General features: G+C 45.7%; 1 protein-coding gene and 1 long non-coding RNA gene across 11 annotated transcripts in view, besides 1 other annotated feature; one reads left to right on the forward strand and one right to left on the reverse strand.

Annotated features, from left to right (window-relative positions):
* Positions 1-17,242, forward strand: part of LIPE-AS1 (LIPE antisense RNA 1) — a 255,208-nt gene that overhangs the window by 182,420 nt on the left and 55,546 nt on the right. The window lies entirely within an intron of this gene.
* On the reverse strand, positions 676-15,357 carry CEACAM8 (CEA cell adhesion molecule 8). 9 transcript variants are annotated; one of them, NM_001816.4, is made up of 6 exons: positions 15,198-15,357; positions 13,974-14,333; positions 9,890-10,168; positions 9,217-9,471; positions 3,639-3,770; positions 676-1,786 (listed from the first exon to the last, which is right to left on the reverse strand). In NM_001816.4, the coding sequence occupies exons 1-5, from the start codon at positions 15,259-15,261 to the stop codon at positions 3,679-3,681; spliced, it is 1,050 nt and encodes a 349-aa protein (NP_001807.2). In that variant the 5' UTR covers positions 15,262-15,357; the 3' UTR covers positions 676-1,786; positions 3,639-3,678. The 9 variants fall into 9 exon arrangements, 7 of the variants coding, with proteins under 7 accessions (NP_001807.2, XP_016881684.1, XP_011524643.1 ...); XM_017026195.2 differs by having other exon boundaries at positions 1,491-1,509; XR_007066548.1 differs by lacking the exon at positions 676-1,786 and adding an exon at positions 3,955-4,141 and having other exon boundaries at positions 3,683-3,770; positions 9,217-9,293.
* Positions 16,690-17,190: an enhancer, noted in NCBI's record as "H3K4me1 hESC enhancer chr19:43100409-43100909 (GRCh37/hg19 assembly coordinates)". NCBI's record gives its function as "activates a minimal SCP1, AML or CMV promoter by ChIP-STARR-seq in primed H9 embryonic stem cells {active_cell/tissue: H9 hESC(primed)}" and the evidence as "EXISTENCE:reporter gene assay evidence [ECO:0000049][PMID:30033119]".

Below are 17,242 nucleotides of genomic sequence, written 5' to 3' on the forward strand. Positions count from 1 at the left end.
GAACCAGTAGACAGAGCCATAGAAATAAATGGATTGGTTAACATCAGGGTACTTCAGGTTACTCTTTTTGGGGTAAATGTTAAAGCAGAGGGGACTTCCTTATGATGTTGACTCAGGGAGACTGGAATCTTCTGTTTTCAGAAAACATTGGTCTGTTTTGAGATCTGCTTCCTTAAAATTCCAGTTGGAGTATGCAGCATTTAGTGTGAGTGGCTCTAATTTGGAGTCTTTAGACTCTCACTTAAGTGAGAGTGTGACCAAAGCTTAAAGCATTAGCATTACTCTCAGTTATCATCATTTTTGGCTTCCATTGTTTATAGGTTATGATATCCTCCTGATCACACATTTCTTTGAGTTTATGTAGTTCCAGCCAAATAGAGACCATTTGATATTTGATGGATGGCAGCACGCAAACACTTAAAACTTTTAGAGATTACAGCACACCAGGGAGACCAGTAGTATGACTATGAGGAAGATAATGTTAAGAGTTTGGAGTATGCACCTTTGGTAAGATGCAAACCAACTGAAATAGAATAGATAAAAGAATGAACCAGATGAGTGTAGCCATTTTAACCAAGTAGCATGTTTGTTAATTTTTGCAACTGAGACTCTATAATACCCGATATATTTATCCATGTGCAACAAGAAGCATCATAAACTACACAGACTCCTCTCTGATCAGCCAATAGGGAGCAATTTTATTATCTAGCATTGCATGCCTGGGTTAAATTAAAACAGACAGTGAGAACAAGTGAGTCTAGGAGTCTGACTCTAAAAGAGACCATAGTACATTTGAACAAAGAGTTGTGTTAAAGATGCTGTTACTGTCAGCCATTGGGTGGACTAAAGGATCTCATACGTAAAAATTTGGGGTTGACACGATAGATTAGACACTCCGTTAATCTATCATTCTCTGTATTTTCTCAAATATAACATCCCAATCAAAGCCTTGGTAATATAACCAATGTTTTAAACTATATCCCATTATAAAGACAGCAGATTCTCACTGAACTTGTGCAAATAACTGAATTACCATAAACATATGAATACTCATGAATAGTTGCCCAGTTCTGTGGCAGTCAGGTAGGGAGCAAAAGTAAATGTTATAATTTTTGTTCACAAAAGTCTGCTTTACCAAATTGCAGTAAGGTATAGATAGCTTAAAAGATAAAGAAATTCATAAATCTGAAAAAGAAAACACTTAAAGAATTGGCAATTTTTCAAATAAAAAATCTTAAAAACGGGCTGGGCGCGGTGGCTCACACCTGTAATCCCAGAACTTTGGGAGGCTGAGGCAGGCGGACCATGAAGTCAGGAGATTGAGACCACAGTGAAACCCCGTCTCTACTAAAAATACAAAAAATTAGCCGGGCGTTGTGGCAGGCGCCTGTAGTCCCAGCTACTCAGGAGGCTGAGGCAGGAGAATGGTGTGAACCCAGGAGGCGGAGCTTGCAGTGAGTTGAGATCGTGCCACTGCACTCCAGCCTGGGCGACAGAGCGAGATTCCATCTCAAAAAAAAAAAAAAAAAAATCTTAAAAACATTATCCTCATTATTATTTAGTTCAATGAAATTCATGTTTTTTTCCTTCTGTGTTTTGGTGGGCAACTTCACAAAGGTATCAGCCTGTTTGCAAGTTCATAGACAGTCCAGTGGCGTGATCTTAAAGTTATCAGGAACTTGTGTTCAAGAGTACTCGTCAGAGTATTTTCCATAAATCTTGAAGAAGAAGCAATTTTGAATGGTAGCTGATTGCAAATGCTTTGAGGAAGAATAAAAACAACTGTCTGTGAATGACAAAGATTGAAAATGACTATGGTTAAAACTCTGAGGAGAGCTCATTATGATAAAGACACAGCCACATAGAAATTTAGTTACTTCTGTGGCATATGACATTATGACTGATAACATATTCGATTTCTAGGAAACTCATAATTTTTGGAACACTCATATCGGTAACATAACCGTAAATATAACTTAGAGAAGGTTTAGCACCACTTATCAATTGACAATGCTTTCCATGTAATTTAACATATCAAGTAAGGCTGGGCGTGGTGGCTTATGCCTGTAATCCCAGCACTTTGGGAGGCCGAGGCGGGTGGATCACAAGGTCATGAGATCGAGACCAGCCTGACCAACATGGTGAAACCCCGTCTCTACTAAAAATAGAAAAATTAGCTGGGCGTGGTGGCAGGTGCCTGTAATCCCAGCTACTCGGGAGGCTGAGGCAGGAGAATTGCTTGAACCTGGGAAGCAGAGGTTGCAGTGAGCCGAGATTGTGCCACTGCACTCCAGCCTGGCGACGGAGCGAGACTCCGTCTCAAAAAAAAAAAAAAAAAAAAAAAAAAAAAAAAATATATATATATATATATATATATATAAAATAAGGTGGCTTTTCCACTTAGCTTCTGTTTCTCAACTGGATTACTGAGTTCTTGGTGGAGCCCATTAATGAACAGGGCCAGCAAAATATAGGCTTGTATATGTTGAAAAAGTTTTCTAGGAAATTCTAATACTCCCAGCTAAAGAACCATTGTTTTAGCCTCATGTGCTACCTATTAGAACAGGAGTTCTCCATCCTGGTTACATGTTAGTAGCATCTGGGAAGGCTTAAAAATTACCAATGCCTGGGTCCCACTCCAGATAGTAGGTAAGAATTTATGGATGGGGCTTGAGCATCATTTAAAAAAACATTTCTCAGTGATTCCAATGTGTGGCTATATTTCCCATCAGATTTCTCTGATTTCTTGTGGCATTCACTTTTTTCTATTTTGGTATTATGATTATTTTTCATATCTTATCTCCTGTCTTAGGCTGTATGTTCTCTGGGGTAGGGATCTTGCCTTTTTCATTTCTGTATCTTTCATGAACACATGAATTGGTCATCAGGAAAAGGTTCTCAACCACACGTAGGCTGTGTCCTGAATCTCAGGTTCACACATTAATGCTAGAGTCGTTGTTCTCCATGAGGTCAGAGGTTGCTTGCTTTGAAGGGTATGTGGGCAACTCCACAGTTCAGATAGTGGATGGGAGATTACCCTGTTTCTAGGCATAGCATTGGAACTAAGAATTCTATGTGTATATGGGGTAGATGCGCAGGGAAGTGTAGGAAGACAGTTCTAATTAGGATGGAGGAATTATACTAGGGAGTAGAGGGAATGGAAGTGAGAAGAATTAGTAAAGAGAAGAAATGTGAACTTATCAAATAGGCCAGAGTAGGCCTCTGAAGATTCTTGAGTAAGTGAGTGAACTAGATTTTAGGAAGGTAATGAGACAATCATATGCAAGGAAGATTTCAAATACTAGAGACAAGAAGTCAAGCAGGACTTCGAGCAGTTGTTGAGGTCTATGGGAATGGATAAAATGACACAAGTGAGAGATGTTAAGAAAGGATCAAAAGACTTTCATAGTGTATTGAATCTGGGAAACAAATGAGCAGAGGCTGGGAATAATCACATCTAAGAGACAGTGGGGTACAGGGAGCATGCAGACCAGGGAAGAAGAGACCTGCAGGAATTAGTGCTGAGAAGCAGGAGTTTATTGGGAGGAGGAGGAGATCCATTCCCGGGATACAGGTCTCTCTCCCAAGCATGGCGGTCAGCCCTGCAGGAAACAGGACAAGAGGAAAGGCCATCATACCTGCCAGTCTTCTTGAAATGCAGAAACTACACCAGAGCTACTATATCAGAGCCACCCTGGCCAGTACTCCAATCATGATGCTGACAGTGGCTCTAGCTGAGAGGCCAGGAGAACTTCCTTGTACTAAAGCATCTGTCATGGAAAGAAAAGAAGAGAAGGAATGAAGTTGATGCCATTTTACAGTGGGGTACCCCAGGAACCAGCTCCTAGCATGAAGTAGTCTCTACTTGTTTTTTCAAGGAATACATTATTTTTGTGGGAAGGTTGCTGGGACGTGATTAGCCAACTATATTCTTGCAGGATTTTTTCCTCTCACCATGTTTCTAGGTTGACGATCAGTCTTCGGTCAATTTCATCCTGGCATTTCTTTACTCAGATATTTTGAAGGCTTTGTGATGTGAAAAAGCTGATTGCTATTTTATGTGTCATTAGAACTTTCCACCTTTTCATGGTTGCATCTTTTTCTCAGTGTCTTAGTTGTGGCAGGTCTCTATGGCAGGGAGCTGATTGACAGAAGGCCCAGGTCAGTGCATTCCAAATTGACCACCTCCTTTGCACAGAGACCTCTCTTCCCAGGGGCTCCCAGCAGGGGTATGGAAGCAAGCCCAGTTTTGTGAGACTCTGTTTAACTCTGATGGGTGACTAGTTGGAGGACGCCCCATCAGCCTTGCCTAAACTCACTTAGAACTGCACTGCTATCTAAAACTTCTTTTTCTTTCTCCTTCACAGGAATCAAATCTGCATCGTGGTCTGAGGGCTCTCCCAGGCTCCTCTCACACCTGCCCCATTTTCCCTCACAGGTGTTTTTCCTAGTAAATTATCTTGCGTGTCTAATCTCATCTTGGTTGCATCTCAGTGGGTTAAAAACTAACATACCAGGTTTGATTCTTTGCACTTAGCTTTTTTTCTCTCTTTCACGTGTAACCAGTAACCATGTCCTCGTGTTTCCTGTGTTGCCTTTTTTTTATATGTGTGTGTATTTACCTAAGATACCTTTTACACACACACACACACACACACACAACCTTTTGCATCTGTTTCTTTATTTCTATTGGAACCATTTACTTTTGGCCCTCACCAGTCAACTCAGGCTGATGATTAATGCTATGTTAGCTACTGTTGAGGGGCAGCTCCTATGGGCCAGGCCCTGTGCTAAATACTTTACCTCATTTGATTTATACAATAACTCTCTTGGGTAGAACATTATTTCCATTTTACAGATGAAACGACAGAGGCTTAGAGTGGTGAAAAAACTTTCCTGATGTCATATGGCTGGTGAGAAGTAGACTTGAGATTTGATTCTAGGACTACTCAGCTTCAAGCTAATGATAACAGTAGTAATATATCAGCTAAAATTTATGAAACATTTCCTCTGTGTGGGGCATTTTGCTGAAGGTTTCATTGATGATTACATAAAACTCTTAAAACAATGCTATGAAGCAAACACTGTTACTGCAATTTTCAGTTGAGGAATCAGAGGCTCAGAGAAGTTAAGAATCTTGTGCAAGAAATTTATAACTGTTAAGTCTTACATTAAAAAAGAAGAAACATCTCAAATCAACAACCTAATTTGCAACTTCATGGTACAGGAGAAAAACAAACTAAACCCAAATATATTGAATGAAGGAAGTAATAAGGATTAGAGTGGATATAAATGAAATGGAGAATGGACAAACAATAGAGGAAATCAATGAAACCAAAAGTTGGTTCTTCAAAATAAGATCAACAAAATTGCCAACCATTAACTAGACTGACTAAGAAAAAAAGAGACAAGATGGAAATTACTAAAATCAGAAATGAAAATGGACTCCCAGCATGGTGGCTTACACCTTCAATCCCAGCACTTTGGGAAGGCAAATTGGGAGGATTGCTTGAGGCCTGGAGTTTGAAACCAGCTGGGGCAACATAGGGAGACCCTGTCTCTACAAAATTAAAACAAAAATTCAGCTGGGCATGATGGTATGCACCTGTAGTTTCAGCTACCTGGGAAGCTGAGTTGGGAGGATTGCTTGAGCCCAGGAGGTTGAGGCTGCAGTGAGTTTTGATCGCACCTCTGCACTCCAGCCTGGGCTGACCTAAGGAGTGAGACTCGTCTTTCTCTCTCTCTCAAAAAAAAAAAAAAAACAAACAAAAAAAAAACGAAAGAAAGAAAAGAAAATGGAGATATTATATATCAATTCTAGAGAAATATTGTTTACAAAAGTACTATGAATAATTGTATGCCAATAAATTGGATAGCCTAGATGAAATGGACAAATTCCAAGAAACACACACAAAAAATCTGAATAGACCTATAATTAGTAGGAAGATTGAATAAAAATTTCATTTGACAAAATTCAACATTCTTTCTTAATAAAAACATGCTAAGTATGAATGGAAGGAAACTATCTCAATATAATAAAGGCAGTATGTGAAAAGCCCAAGGCTAACATCATACTCAATAGAGAAAGACTGAAAGCTTTCCCCCTATGATCAGGAACAAGACAAGGATGCCTGCTTTTGCCACGTCTATTTAACATAGTATTACAAGTCCTAGCCAGAGAAATTAGGCAAGAAAAAAAGAAGACTTTCAGATTGGAAAGAAGAAGTAAAATTATCTGTCTGTTCACAGACAACTTGAACTTCTTTGTAGAAAACTCTAAGGATGAAAAAAACCTGTTAGAATTTATTAATAAATTCAGTAATGTTGCAGGATACAAAATCAGCATGCAAACATCAGTTGCATTTCTATACACTAACAATGAACAATCTAAAAAGGAAATTAAGAAAAAAATTTTAATTCACATTAACATCAAAAAGAATAAAATACTTAGGCATAAGTTTAACCAAGGAGGTGAAAGGATTGTATTCTGAAAACTAGAAAACATTGCTGAAGGAAATTAAATACGACCTCAAAAAATGGGAAGACATTTTGTTTTCATGGATTGGAAGACACGGTATTGTTAGGAGGATAATACCACCCAAAGTGAGCTATGGATTCAACACAATTTCTATCAGAATTCCAATGACATTTTTTTGCAGAAATAGAAAAATCTATCCTAAAGTTCATATGGAATTTCAGGACTCAAAATAGCCAACCAATCATGAAAAAAGGAACCTTGAAAAAAAAATGCTGAATCCTGATTTCAGCATTTACTACAAAGCCACAGTAATCAATACAATGCAGTACTTGCGTAAAGGAAGACAGAAACCAGCGGAATAGAACAGAAAGCCCAGAAAGGAATGCTTGCATATATGGCCAAATGATATTTGATAAGGATGCCAATACCACTCAATGGGGAAAGTGCAGTCTTTTCAGCAAATGATTTTGGGAAAGCTGGAAATCCATGCAGAAAGATGAGCTGAACCTTTACCTGACACCATATACAAAAAACTAACCCACAGTAGATCAAAGACCAAATGTAAGAGTAAAAACTATAAAACTCTCAGAAGAAAACACAGGGAAAAAAACTCCATGACATTGGATTTCACAGTGGTTTCTTGGTTATAACAACAAAAGCATAGGCAACAAAAGAAAAAATGGGTAAGTTGGACTTCATGAAAATCAATAACTTTTATATATCAAAGAACATTGTCGAGGAAGTGAAAAGGCAACCTTGAAGTGGGAAAAATATTTGTAAATCATGTATGATAAGGGATCAATTTTCAGAGTATATGAAGAACTACTACAAATCCACAACAGCAAAAATCCAAAAACCCAACTAAAAAAGGACAAAAGACTGAAATAGAGATTTCTCCAAGGAAGATATACAAATGGCCAATGAGCACATGCAAAGATGCTCAACATCACTGATACTTAGAGATATGCAAATCAGAACCCCAATGATAGAATACCTCAAACACATTAGGATGGCTTTGATTAAAAAAAAACCACACACACACAAACAACAAGTGTTTTTAAGGAAGTGGAAAAATTGGAGCTCTAGTGCATTGCTGATGGAAGTGTGAAATGTTATAGCCACTGTGGAAAACAGTATGGCTGTTTCTCAAACAATTAAACAAAGAATTACCATTGGATCCAGCAATTCCACTTCTGGACATATATGCAAGAGAATTGGAAGGGATTTGAACAGATATTTGTACACTGATGTTCACAGCAGCATTAGTCACACAATAGCCAAAAGGTGGAAACAACTGCAAAGTCCATTGAAAGATAAGTGGATAGAAAAGTGAGGTGTATCCATACAATGGAATGTTCTTCAATCTTAACAAGGAAGAAAATTCTGATACATGGTGCAAAATGGATGAACCTTAAAAACATTATGTTAAGTGAAACAAGCCAGACACAAAAGGCCACCTATTATATAATTCCATTTATATAAGGTTGTTAGAATAATCAATTACATAGAGACAGAAAGTAGAATGGAGGTTGCCAGGGGTTAGAGGGAGAAGGAGTGAGAGTTACTCTTTATTGGGCAGAGAAGTTTATTTAATATGGTAAGATGAAAAAGTTCTGGAAATGGATGGTGGTGATGGTTACATAACACTAAATTGCACGCATAGAAATAGTTAATGGTGGCTGGGAGTGGTGGCTCATGCCTGTAATCCCAGCACTTTGAGAAGCCAAGGCGGGTGGATCACCTGAGTTCGGGAGTTCGAGACCAGCCTGATCAACATGGAGAAACCCCATCTCTACTAAAAATACAAAATTAGCTGGGCGTGTTGGCACATGCCTGTAATCCAGCTACTTGGGAGGCTGAGGCAGGAGAATTGCTTGAACCCAGGAGGCGGAGGGTGAGCCGAGATAGTGCCATTGCACTCCAGCCTGGGCAACTGGCACTACCCCTTCCCTCTCATGCAGAGACCCTGTGGCTGAATCTCCCTGTGTCTCCAAGTGTGCATCACTCACTGTCCTCTGTGTTGTATCCACAGCCTCATGCAGCCCGTGACTTCAGAGCTAGGACACTGCTCAGGAGTCTTCCCGGAGGCTCCCTGTCTTCCCATTTTTGTGCAGCCTGACTGGGGGGAGGCTTGGCTTCAACTGGCAACTTGATTTAGCCAGATTTGGGATAGGCCACCTGAGCACCTTTTCCATACACCTGGGTCCCACCCCAGGTGGAGTCAGGGCAGGGCCTGTCACCAGGGAGCTGGGAGCAGAGATGGGAGCAGTCTGAGCTGCTCCTCCGTCATCCAAGGGGCTCCTCCTCCCATTTGGGGAACGTTGTGGGCTTGTTTCAAAGCCTTGGATGTTTCTTGCAGCTAATGGCATAGGTAAAAGAAAACAAAGGGGTAACAGAAACAGGGGTGCCATGTGTTGGTGACAAAGAAAAGCAACTTGACCTTGAGGACCCTCCTTCTTCCCCCTTGGTGAAGTCCTTTCCATGACATAGGGCTCTGGGGCTGACGAAGGCCCCTCTCCACGTTTCTCAGGTCAGCCCCGAGGTCAGCCAAGAGAAATCAGAAAAACAGGCAGAAGAGAGTCTATAGAGATAAACTGGGAGGGTTTAGGAGAAAAGTTGGGGATTTGCTTGTGCTGTTGGACACAGGCTGGGAATAAAACTTTTTTTCTGGCTCATCTCTGAAAGCCAGATAGACTCTACCAGAAAACATACTGCCAGTGCTCCAGGGATCCACTTACCAGAGACTGTGATCATCCTGACTGTGGTCCTGTTGCGGCCAGTGGCTGAGTTAGTGGTGTGGCAGGCATAGGATCCGCTGTTCTTTGTAGTGATGTTGGGGATAAAGAGCTTTTGTGTGTATTGCTGGAATGTGCCATTGACAGACCAAGAATACTGTGAGGGTGGATTAGAGGCCGCATGGCAGGAGAGGTTGAGATTTACCCCTGCATGGTAATAGGTGTCTGAAGGGGAAATGGTGGGGGCATCTGGGCCATCTAGAGCAAAAGAATAAAGTCACAGGTGATGTCATCAGAGGGAAGGGGAAGCTCCTGGTCTGTGGAAGAGCCACAGTGTCCCTCTGAGCCAAGTCACAAACCTGAGCCAAGTCCCAACCAACCCCAACCAAACCCCCGCTGTTTCTACTGAGACAGAGTCCGAGACATTTACCTGTTTCTCCCATCAGAAGATGTGGACTCCAAGTCTCCCATGACAGGAGCACCCCCTCCCCTCTTATTCTTGGTCAAGGCTAGGCCTACCCATGTTTGCCTGGGGCAGAAAGTCATGACGAGCTGGGTTTCTAGGGGTGGGTGGGGAATCTGCATTTTTGGAGCTGAGAGGGACTGAGAGGCCTGGCCTCTGGCTGCGTGGATTTGGGCTGGTGGCCTGGGCCACAGAGGAACAGAAGATACTCACAGAGGACATTCAGGGTGACTGGGTCACTGAAGTTTGCACTCGCTGGGTTCTGTATTTCACATTCATAGGGTCCTACGTCATTCCTTGTGACACTGAGTAGAGTGAGGGTCCTGTTGCCATTGGACAGCTGCAGCCTGGGACTGACCGGGAGACTCTGACCATTTACCCACCACAGGTAGGTTGTGTTCTGAGTCTCAGGTTCACAGGTGAAGGCCACAGCATCCTTGTCCTCCACGGGGTTGGAGTTGTTGCTGGAGATGGAGGGCTTGGGAGTCTCCGCTGTGCAGAAAACAGAGAGAAGATTGCCCTGTGTGGCACCTTTGATTCCTCCACAGGCAAATTTCAATTAGAGTTGGCATCTCCCACCTCTCAGCCTACTCGAGTCCTTAAAAGCCCACGGTGGGTGTGTGTGTCACAAGACAGATGCACAATGATCGGGGCTCAGAGACCATGAGGCCGCCTTCTCTGTGTGGGAGAAACACAGACTTTCTCAAATGTGAATTGGGCAGCAGCGCTGGGTTGTGGACAGACCCAGGACTGGGAGTTACAGATCCTGGTGCCTCTTCTGGTCCCTCCCTGACCGGCTGCCTGCCTGGCCTACCTAGGGGTCCTCACCTGGAACATGTAGGTGCTGGGTCCCTTCCAGCTTCACAGTCCTACTTTGCCCTTCGAGGTGTGTTTTTGAGGGTTCTGTTTCCAAGAACATTCTAGAGATGGGAGATGATGGGACATGCCACTATCCTTAATTCCTGACTGGGTGTTTCAACAGAAATAACACAGGGGAGGCCGGGGCAAGCCTGGAGGTCGGTTCCGTCGTCAGGCAGTGGAGCCACAAGGTGGGGCAGTTTTTCCCAGGTGTTTCATCGTGACTTACTTGAGTCAGTGACCTCTAAAGATAGAGCAGAGTCCAAGGAATGATCTAGAAGGAGTGAAGGGGACAGGCAAGAACAGGTGGCTTTGGAGCAGAACCTTGTTTCCTTTCCTTGGTTTTTAATGTCCCTTCTTTCCCTGCGGGGGGCAGATGAGGAGCTGTGGATCCTCCCATAAATACATGTGGACATTTGCAAATGCAAACTGACGGGTGGGGAGGGGGAGCCTGAAGTGCTGGAAATTTGGCCCTCATGGACCGTGGGTGTTTGACAGTTATGAGAGAGAAATTTGGGAAGAAGTTTTGCAAATATTTTCTCCTACTGGACATTATACAGAGTGAAATAAGCCACTGACAGGACAGATACTGTAGGATTCCACTTACATGAGGTTCCTAGGGTAGTCACACTCATGGAATCACGTAGTAGAATGGTGGTTGCTATGGGCTGGGAGTGGGGGGAATGGAGAGTTGTTCATGGGTCTGCAGTTTCAGTTACACAGGATGAGGAGGTTCTAGAGATCTGCTGTACAGCTTTGTGCCTATAGCTCATATACAGTGAGTATTTCTTATGCATAAGGCTTAGGGCCAAAAGTGTTTTGAATTTCTAACTTTTATAAATTTTTGAACATTTGCAGTATACTTACTGGTTTAGCATCTCAAATCTGAAAATCCCAAATCCAAAATGCTCCAGTGAGCATTTCTTTTGAGAATCACGTTAGTGGCCAAAAAATGTGGAATTTTGGAGCATTTCAGATTTGGGATTTTTGATGGTCAATGTGTAACTCTAATTTGCATTTTAAAATTTGTCAGGAGTTTAGATATTATGTTTTGACTATAGTCAAAAACAAAATTGGAGGAAACATGAATTTTTTTCCATAAGTAGAAATTGCTATTAATTGTCCACAGATCTAAAATCAATTGGTGGAAGGAGTATTTCTCTTGATAACAAAATAAGGTTTAGGCGTCCTGTGAATTCCAGCAGGATCACATTATGCTCAAAGGAAGATCCTGAAGTTCGCTTGAAATTAGCAACTCCCAGGTAGAGGGAGGCACGTGAGTCCTGTTAAGAGGACAGAACCGGTCAGAGAGGAAGTCTTAGGTGTGTCAATTCCATAAAGGGAGGAACAATGCCAAATTAGGAGAAGCGATGTGTGTTATGTTAGTAAATTTAGAAAGCTTCCTGCCCCTAATTCCTATGCAGAGTTAGGCAAAATTGGGAGGAGCCCAAAACAGGTATGCGCAATGCTTTCTTCATTTTCTCTTGACCTCGGGAGACACAAGTAGAATTGGATTAGGTTTTTGCGAATTGGACAGAGTCTAAGTGAGACGCCAGTGGCTCATGCGTCTCCCCACCTGAAGGACCCCATCTTATCACAATGGTGCCATCATGAGGACACAGATGTGTGTGGAACAGGCAGTAAGCCCATCAGACAGCACCTGCCTGGCCATCCAGGATCTAGTCTCTAAAGAGGTTTTGCATCATTCATTCTCTCATTCATTCCCTCTCCATGAGAGAACGATCGAGTGTGTGTCACATGTTGGGCCTGTCCTGGTGCAGGGTGTGAGTGGGGAGAGAAAGCAAAGTCCTCTCTTTTGTCCTCCCATGGGAGTGACAGCAACACATCAGGAAACAGGATTTCAGGTTCAGTGAGGGGGGTTAGGATCTTAGAGGGAGCCTGGACATTCCTCGCACTGGCTCTGACAGTTGGGGCAGGTGATTTAGTTCTGGAGTACGAATGAATCAGTTGCTTATTTGCTCTCACTTCTCTGAGCTTTGGATGCTCAGGAAGAAAGGATTTGAGCCAATGGATGACCATGGGGTCCGTGGAACGCAATAAGCCCTGCCTTCTTGTGGAAGAGAGGACGGGGCTGTGGCTGGAGAGAGACCTCATGTGACCCTGATCTATCCCTCGTGTTTGTGTGACCCTGGTTCAGTGACTGTGTCTTCCTGTGCCTCCGTTTCTTCTCAATAATAAGCTTCTATTAAAAGAAATAATAGGCTGAGCGCAGTGGCTCATGCCTGTAATCCCAGCATTTTGGGAGGCCGAGGCAGGCGGATCATGAGGTCAAGAAATCGAGACCATCCTGGCCAACATGGTAAAACTCTGTCTCTAATAAAAATACCAAAATTAGCTAGGGGTGGTGGCATGCACCTGTAGTCCCAGCTACTCGGGAGGCTGAGGCAGGAGAATCGCTTGAACCCGGGAGGCAGAGGTTGCAGTGAGCTGAGATCGCACCACTGCACTCCAGCCTGGCCACAGAGACTCCGTCTCAAAAAAAAAAAAAAAAAAAAAAAGAAATAAAAAGAATTATTATTTCTTTCTCAATAGGAAAATGATATTTTCTGCCAGGTTTTCTATGAATTAGCATTAAATTATCCATAGTCACCTGACCTGAAGCTTGCACAGAGGAGGCGCTCACACAAACAGCACGGGTTATTATTTGCCTCCATGAGAGGGTCCCCTTGGCATGATCCCTGCTGGACAAGTTGCTGTTAGGAACATCTTTCTTCTATTTCTGTCCCTGGGGACACTGAACTTTCTATGGAGTCTCCTAAGCCTCCCAGGCCAGTTGGCTGATGGCCTAAGAAGCTTGTCCATCTGTCCTCTCCACTCTGAGTCTCAGGTGAAGGACAAGACTCTGTCCTTGCCCAGATGAGGCTCTGGGGTCTAAGCCCTGGCTGGTGAGCAGCTCCAGGAGCCACAGCCCTTGGATGGCTGGTAAATCTTTGCTCCTAGTTGGCCCTGCCCAGGAGGCTACAACCCAGTGCTGGCACAGGTTTCCCAGGGTTACCTGGAGTCAGGATCCTGGGACAGGGGTCTGGAGCAGGGGCTTCCAGGGATGAACTTCTCTGTGAGGATCCCAGGATCCCAGGGAGCCCCTCAGGTCAGGCCCTGACCCAGTTCTTTAGAGTTTTTCTCAGGGTCAGGTCCATGGGGAGGGCACGGGGTGCCTGGCTGAGTCTGATCTCCTTCTGCTGAGTCCCCCCATCAGACTGTCATTCCTCTGCCGTGAGTGTCTGCAGGGTCTGGATGCAGGAAAGGAATTCTGGTCTGTGGAAGTCTGTCTCCCCTGAGTGTGTCCTGCACTAAATGTCCAAACCCTAAAGTGGGATGTAATGCAGAGAGGGACATGGGCACAGCCCAGGCCTAACAATCCTGTGTGTGGGAAGTAGAACTGACCCCCAACACCCAGAGGTCATGGGGAATCACTCACGATGTACGCTGAACTGGCCAGTTACTTCTTCACTCATAAGATTTAGCTTTATGACTTGTAGGGTGTAGGATCCTGTGTCATTTCTGGTGACGTTCCGCATCAGCAGGGATGCATTGGGGTATATTGTCTCTCGATTGCTGTATGCAGGCCCTGGGGTAATCTGTTGATTTGATATTACATATCCTATAATTCGACGGTTGGCATCCACTGTTTCCCCTTTGTACCAGTTGTAGCCACGAGGGTCCTGGGGCAGATTGTGGACAAGTAGAAGAACCTCCTTCCCCTCTGCAGCATTGGATGGCACAGCTTCAATAGTGAGCTGAGCAGTGGTGGGCGGGTTCCAGAAGGTGAAAAGTGAGGCTAGGAGGGGGAGAGAGCATCAAGCAATATTGCAACATATGTATTGGAGTAGAAAAATGGGGACATCAGCTTTGGAGTTTGTGTGTTTTTATGTGTGTGTATGTGTGTGTGTCCTACTGAGTCAATGTCAGCAGCACAGCCCCCATTTCTTCAACACCTCTGACCTTGGCATTTCCCTGGTGGAATCCTCTTCTTCAGGGTTCTGCACGGCTCCCTCCACACTGCCCTCAGATCCTGCTCACATCAGGGCATCCTTGGGAGACCCTTTCTCTGACACCTCCTCTAGAGACACTGGGTCTTCCCTTTCTGACCTTTCCCTGCTGTGTTCCTTCCAGGGCTCCTGTCAGCGCCTGACCTCACATTCTAGATCTCTTTGTCTGTCTTCCTCCCCAGGAGAGTGTGAGCTCTGTGAGGGCAGGGACTTGTGTGGTGTTGGCTGCACCCCAGTGCCTGGGACAGGCTTCAGACTCCTGTGGATGAGTTCCTGAGCATTCCCTGGGCCCTCTGCTTCCTGAGGCTTATTTGCCAATGTCTGACATTGTTGGCTGAGGACAATGTTTCATACCCTGGTTATGCTTTATTTGAAGTGTCATCTGGTATGGTTATTATTATCATTTTTCAAAATGTAGTGGCCAGTGATGATTAACCAGGAATATGGAACACTTGAGATGTTCCTGCCTCTTACCAATTCCAGTTCAATGTGATTTTCCTGTTGTGACCCCTTCCCCTCTCTTGTGTCCTCTCCTCTATTAAGGCTCCAACAGAAGTCCTCTGTCCCCTCTCAGAGCCCCGTCCTCCCCAGGAGACCCCAGCCAGTCACTGTGTTTCCTCCTCCTGTCCTTTCCCAGGAAGTCCTCTCCTCACCTGTGAGCAGGAGCCCCTGCCAGGGGATGCGCCATCTGCAGGAAGGGGCTGAGATGGGCCCCATGGTCTCTGCTGCCTGCGTGTTCTCCTCTGTGGAGATGAGCCTGGGATCCAGAAACTTTCTGAGCACGGCTGTCAGCTGTGCTGTCCTTCCTCCTTTTGTGCTGAGCCTCTTCCCGGGGCAGGAGCACTTCTCAGGCTCATGGGCGGGGTCTGTGCCCAGGACACCTCTCTGTCCCCTCCCCTCTCAGTCCTGCCTCCCTGTCCCTCCTTTCCCTTTATTTTCTGTCTGTGTTTCAGGCCCCTGGGAATTGCTGAGGTCTCTGACTCCTTCAGCAGTGATTCTCTCACCCAACCTCTGCACACACTATGCAGACACACACACACAGAGACACACACATACACAAAGAGACACACACAGTCACACATACACCCTGGAGACTGGGTGAGCACAGCCCTGTGCCCTCAGCATCCTGCAGCCTATGTCTCCAGGTCGGGGTGCACAGTCGCTCCCCCTGCCCTCTCCCATCCCCATCTGGCTCTTCCCTTCAGATCAGGAGGTCAGCGCTCCGCAAGGACCCTGTCACAGGGACACCACCACTGAGCTTTGGGGAGGTGTGTGCTCACTGGTGAGAGGGATCCTCCCCCTCTCTCATTGTGTCAAGCTTGGTTGCAGCTTCCAAGGATGGACATTCAATGCCCTGGATATCCCAGAGGGGACTGTCCTTACTGGTGGTGTGCAGGGCAAATAATCTCTTATGCCTCCTGAGAGAGAGGGCTGTTCTGGTTGGTCAGTGGGGGCTGTGGGCCTAGTGGTCATCAGGGACAGGTATCAGCCATTCTCTTGCTCTTTGGGTTCTGGCAGCTGAGCTGGGGCTCGGGCCTTCCATGTTCTCTCTGACCATCTTGGGTGTCCTCTGTTTTCGCCCGGCTGACTGTCCTGTGGTCACCCCACCTTCCCTATGGTTGGTGCAGCAGGAAGTGGGGAGTTGCCCAGGGGCCCCACAAGACAGTGCTCTCTGAGATCCAGGAGAGGGAGCCTGGGACAGAGCAGGGGCTCAGAGCTGGAGAGACTCATCCCAACTTACTCTGCAGCCAGGATGGGCTCAGCCCTCCCCATGCTGATATCCCCTGGGGTCTGTCCTAAGGGTTTGGACCTGGTCAGGCCCCTCTGTGTAGAGAAAGGATGGGCAGCGGCCGGGGAGCCCGTCTGGGGGGACGTTGCTCACACCTGAGAGGGCAGGTAGGGGTGGGCCATGTTCTGGGAACAAAGGGAGCTCATTCCTTGCCCCCCAGCTTGTGTACATGAGAGAGCGCTGTCCTCCCTCCTGGCTTCACGAAGGACAGCAGGGGGCAGGTGGCTACATCCCAGACAGTGCCTGGGCGTGACCATCACATACTCTCCGAGCCTCCTGGGGTGCAGAGGGAAGGTCATAGGGTGCCTGGCTGATTCCCCAGAGGCACTGTGGGCCCTCAGGCAGCTGTGGTTCTGTCAGCGCTGGGCTCAGCCTGCCATGCCGTAGAGAACAGGACACACGGAGCAGGGGCGGGTATTTAGGGAGCAGTCACAGAAAGAGTTGATGAGGATGGAGGGAGGTCACGAGGGGAAAGCGCCCAGTGTGGCATCCCGTGCACCAGCGCTGCCCTGGGAGATGCCTTAACTAGGCCCAGGGAAGGATTGGGTGTGTGGGGCAGGAGCTGCCTGCAGAGGGGGCGGCCTCATGTTGCCGGCTGCCTGGCTGCAGGGAGGAGCTGACAGAGTCCGTATGGGGAGCTTGGAGGGTAAGGAGGACGTGGGCCGAGGTGCCCTGGTGAGGGTGGACCCTGCTGGGCTGTGGGTTCCGCTGAGGGAGGTCAGCAGCCCCTGGGAAGGCTCCAGGCTGGAGGGACTCTGTCGCCCTCTGGTGGACTGGAAGGGAAGTGTGGGTGGCCGCAGTCCCAGGTCCGGCTGCGTGTTTTATTCCACATGGATCTGCACATTTCACACGAGGTCACCCACATGTTATGTCGAGCTCCATCACATTCCACATCCGTGTTTTTCTCTG

The sequence above is a fragment of the Homo sapiens genome, chromosome 19 (assembly GCF_000001405.40).
Source record: "Homo sapiens chromosome 19, GRCh38.p14 Primary Assembly".
Classification (NCBI taxonomy): domain Eukaryota; kingdom Metazoa; phylum Chordata; class Mammalia; order Primates; family Hominidae; genus Homo; species Homo sapiens.

Coding starts and splice junctions, on each gene's coding strand:
- CEACAM8 (XM_011526340.3), bottom strand. CDS start 15,261: ATGGGGCCCATCTCAGCCCCTTCCTGCAGATGGCGCATCCCCTGGCAG. Junction 14,334..15,197: donor GCAGGGGCTCCTGCTCACAG/GTGAGGAGAGGA, acceptor TCCCCCTCCTAG/CCTCACTTTTCACCTTCTGG. Junction 10,169..13,973: donor TGGCCAGTTCAGCGTACATC/GTGAGTGATTCC, acceptor TTTTCTGCACAG/CGGAGACTCCCAAGCCCTCC.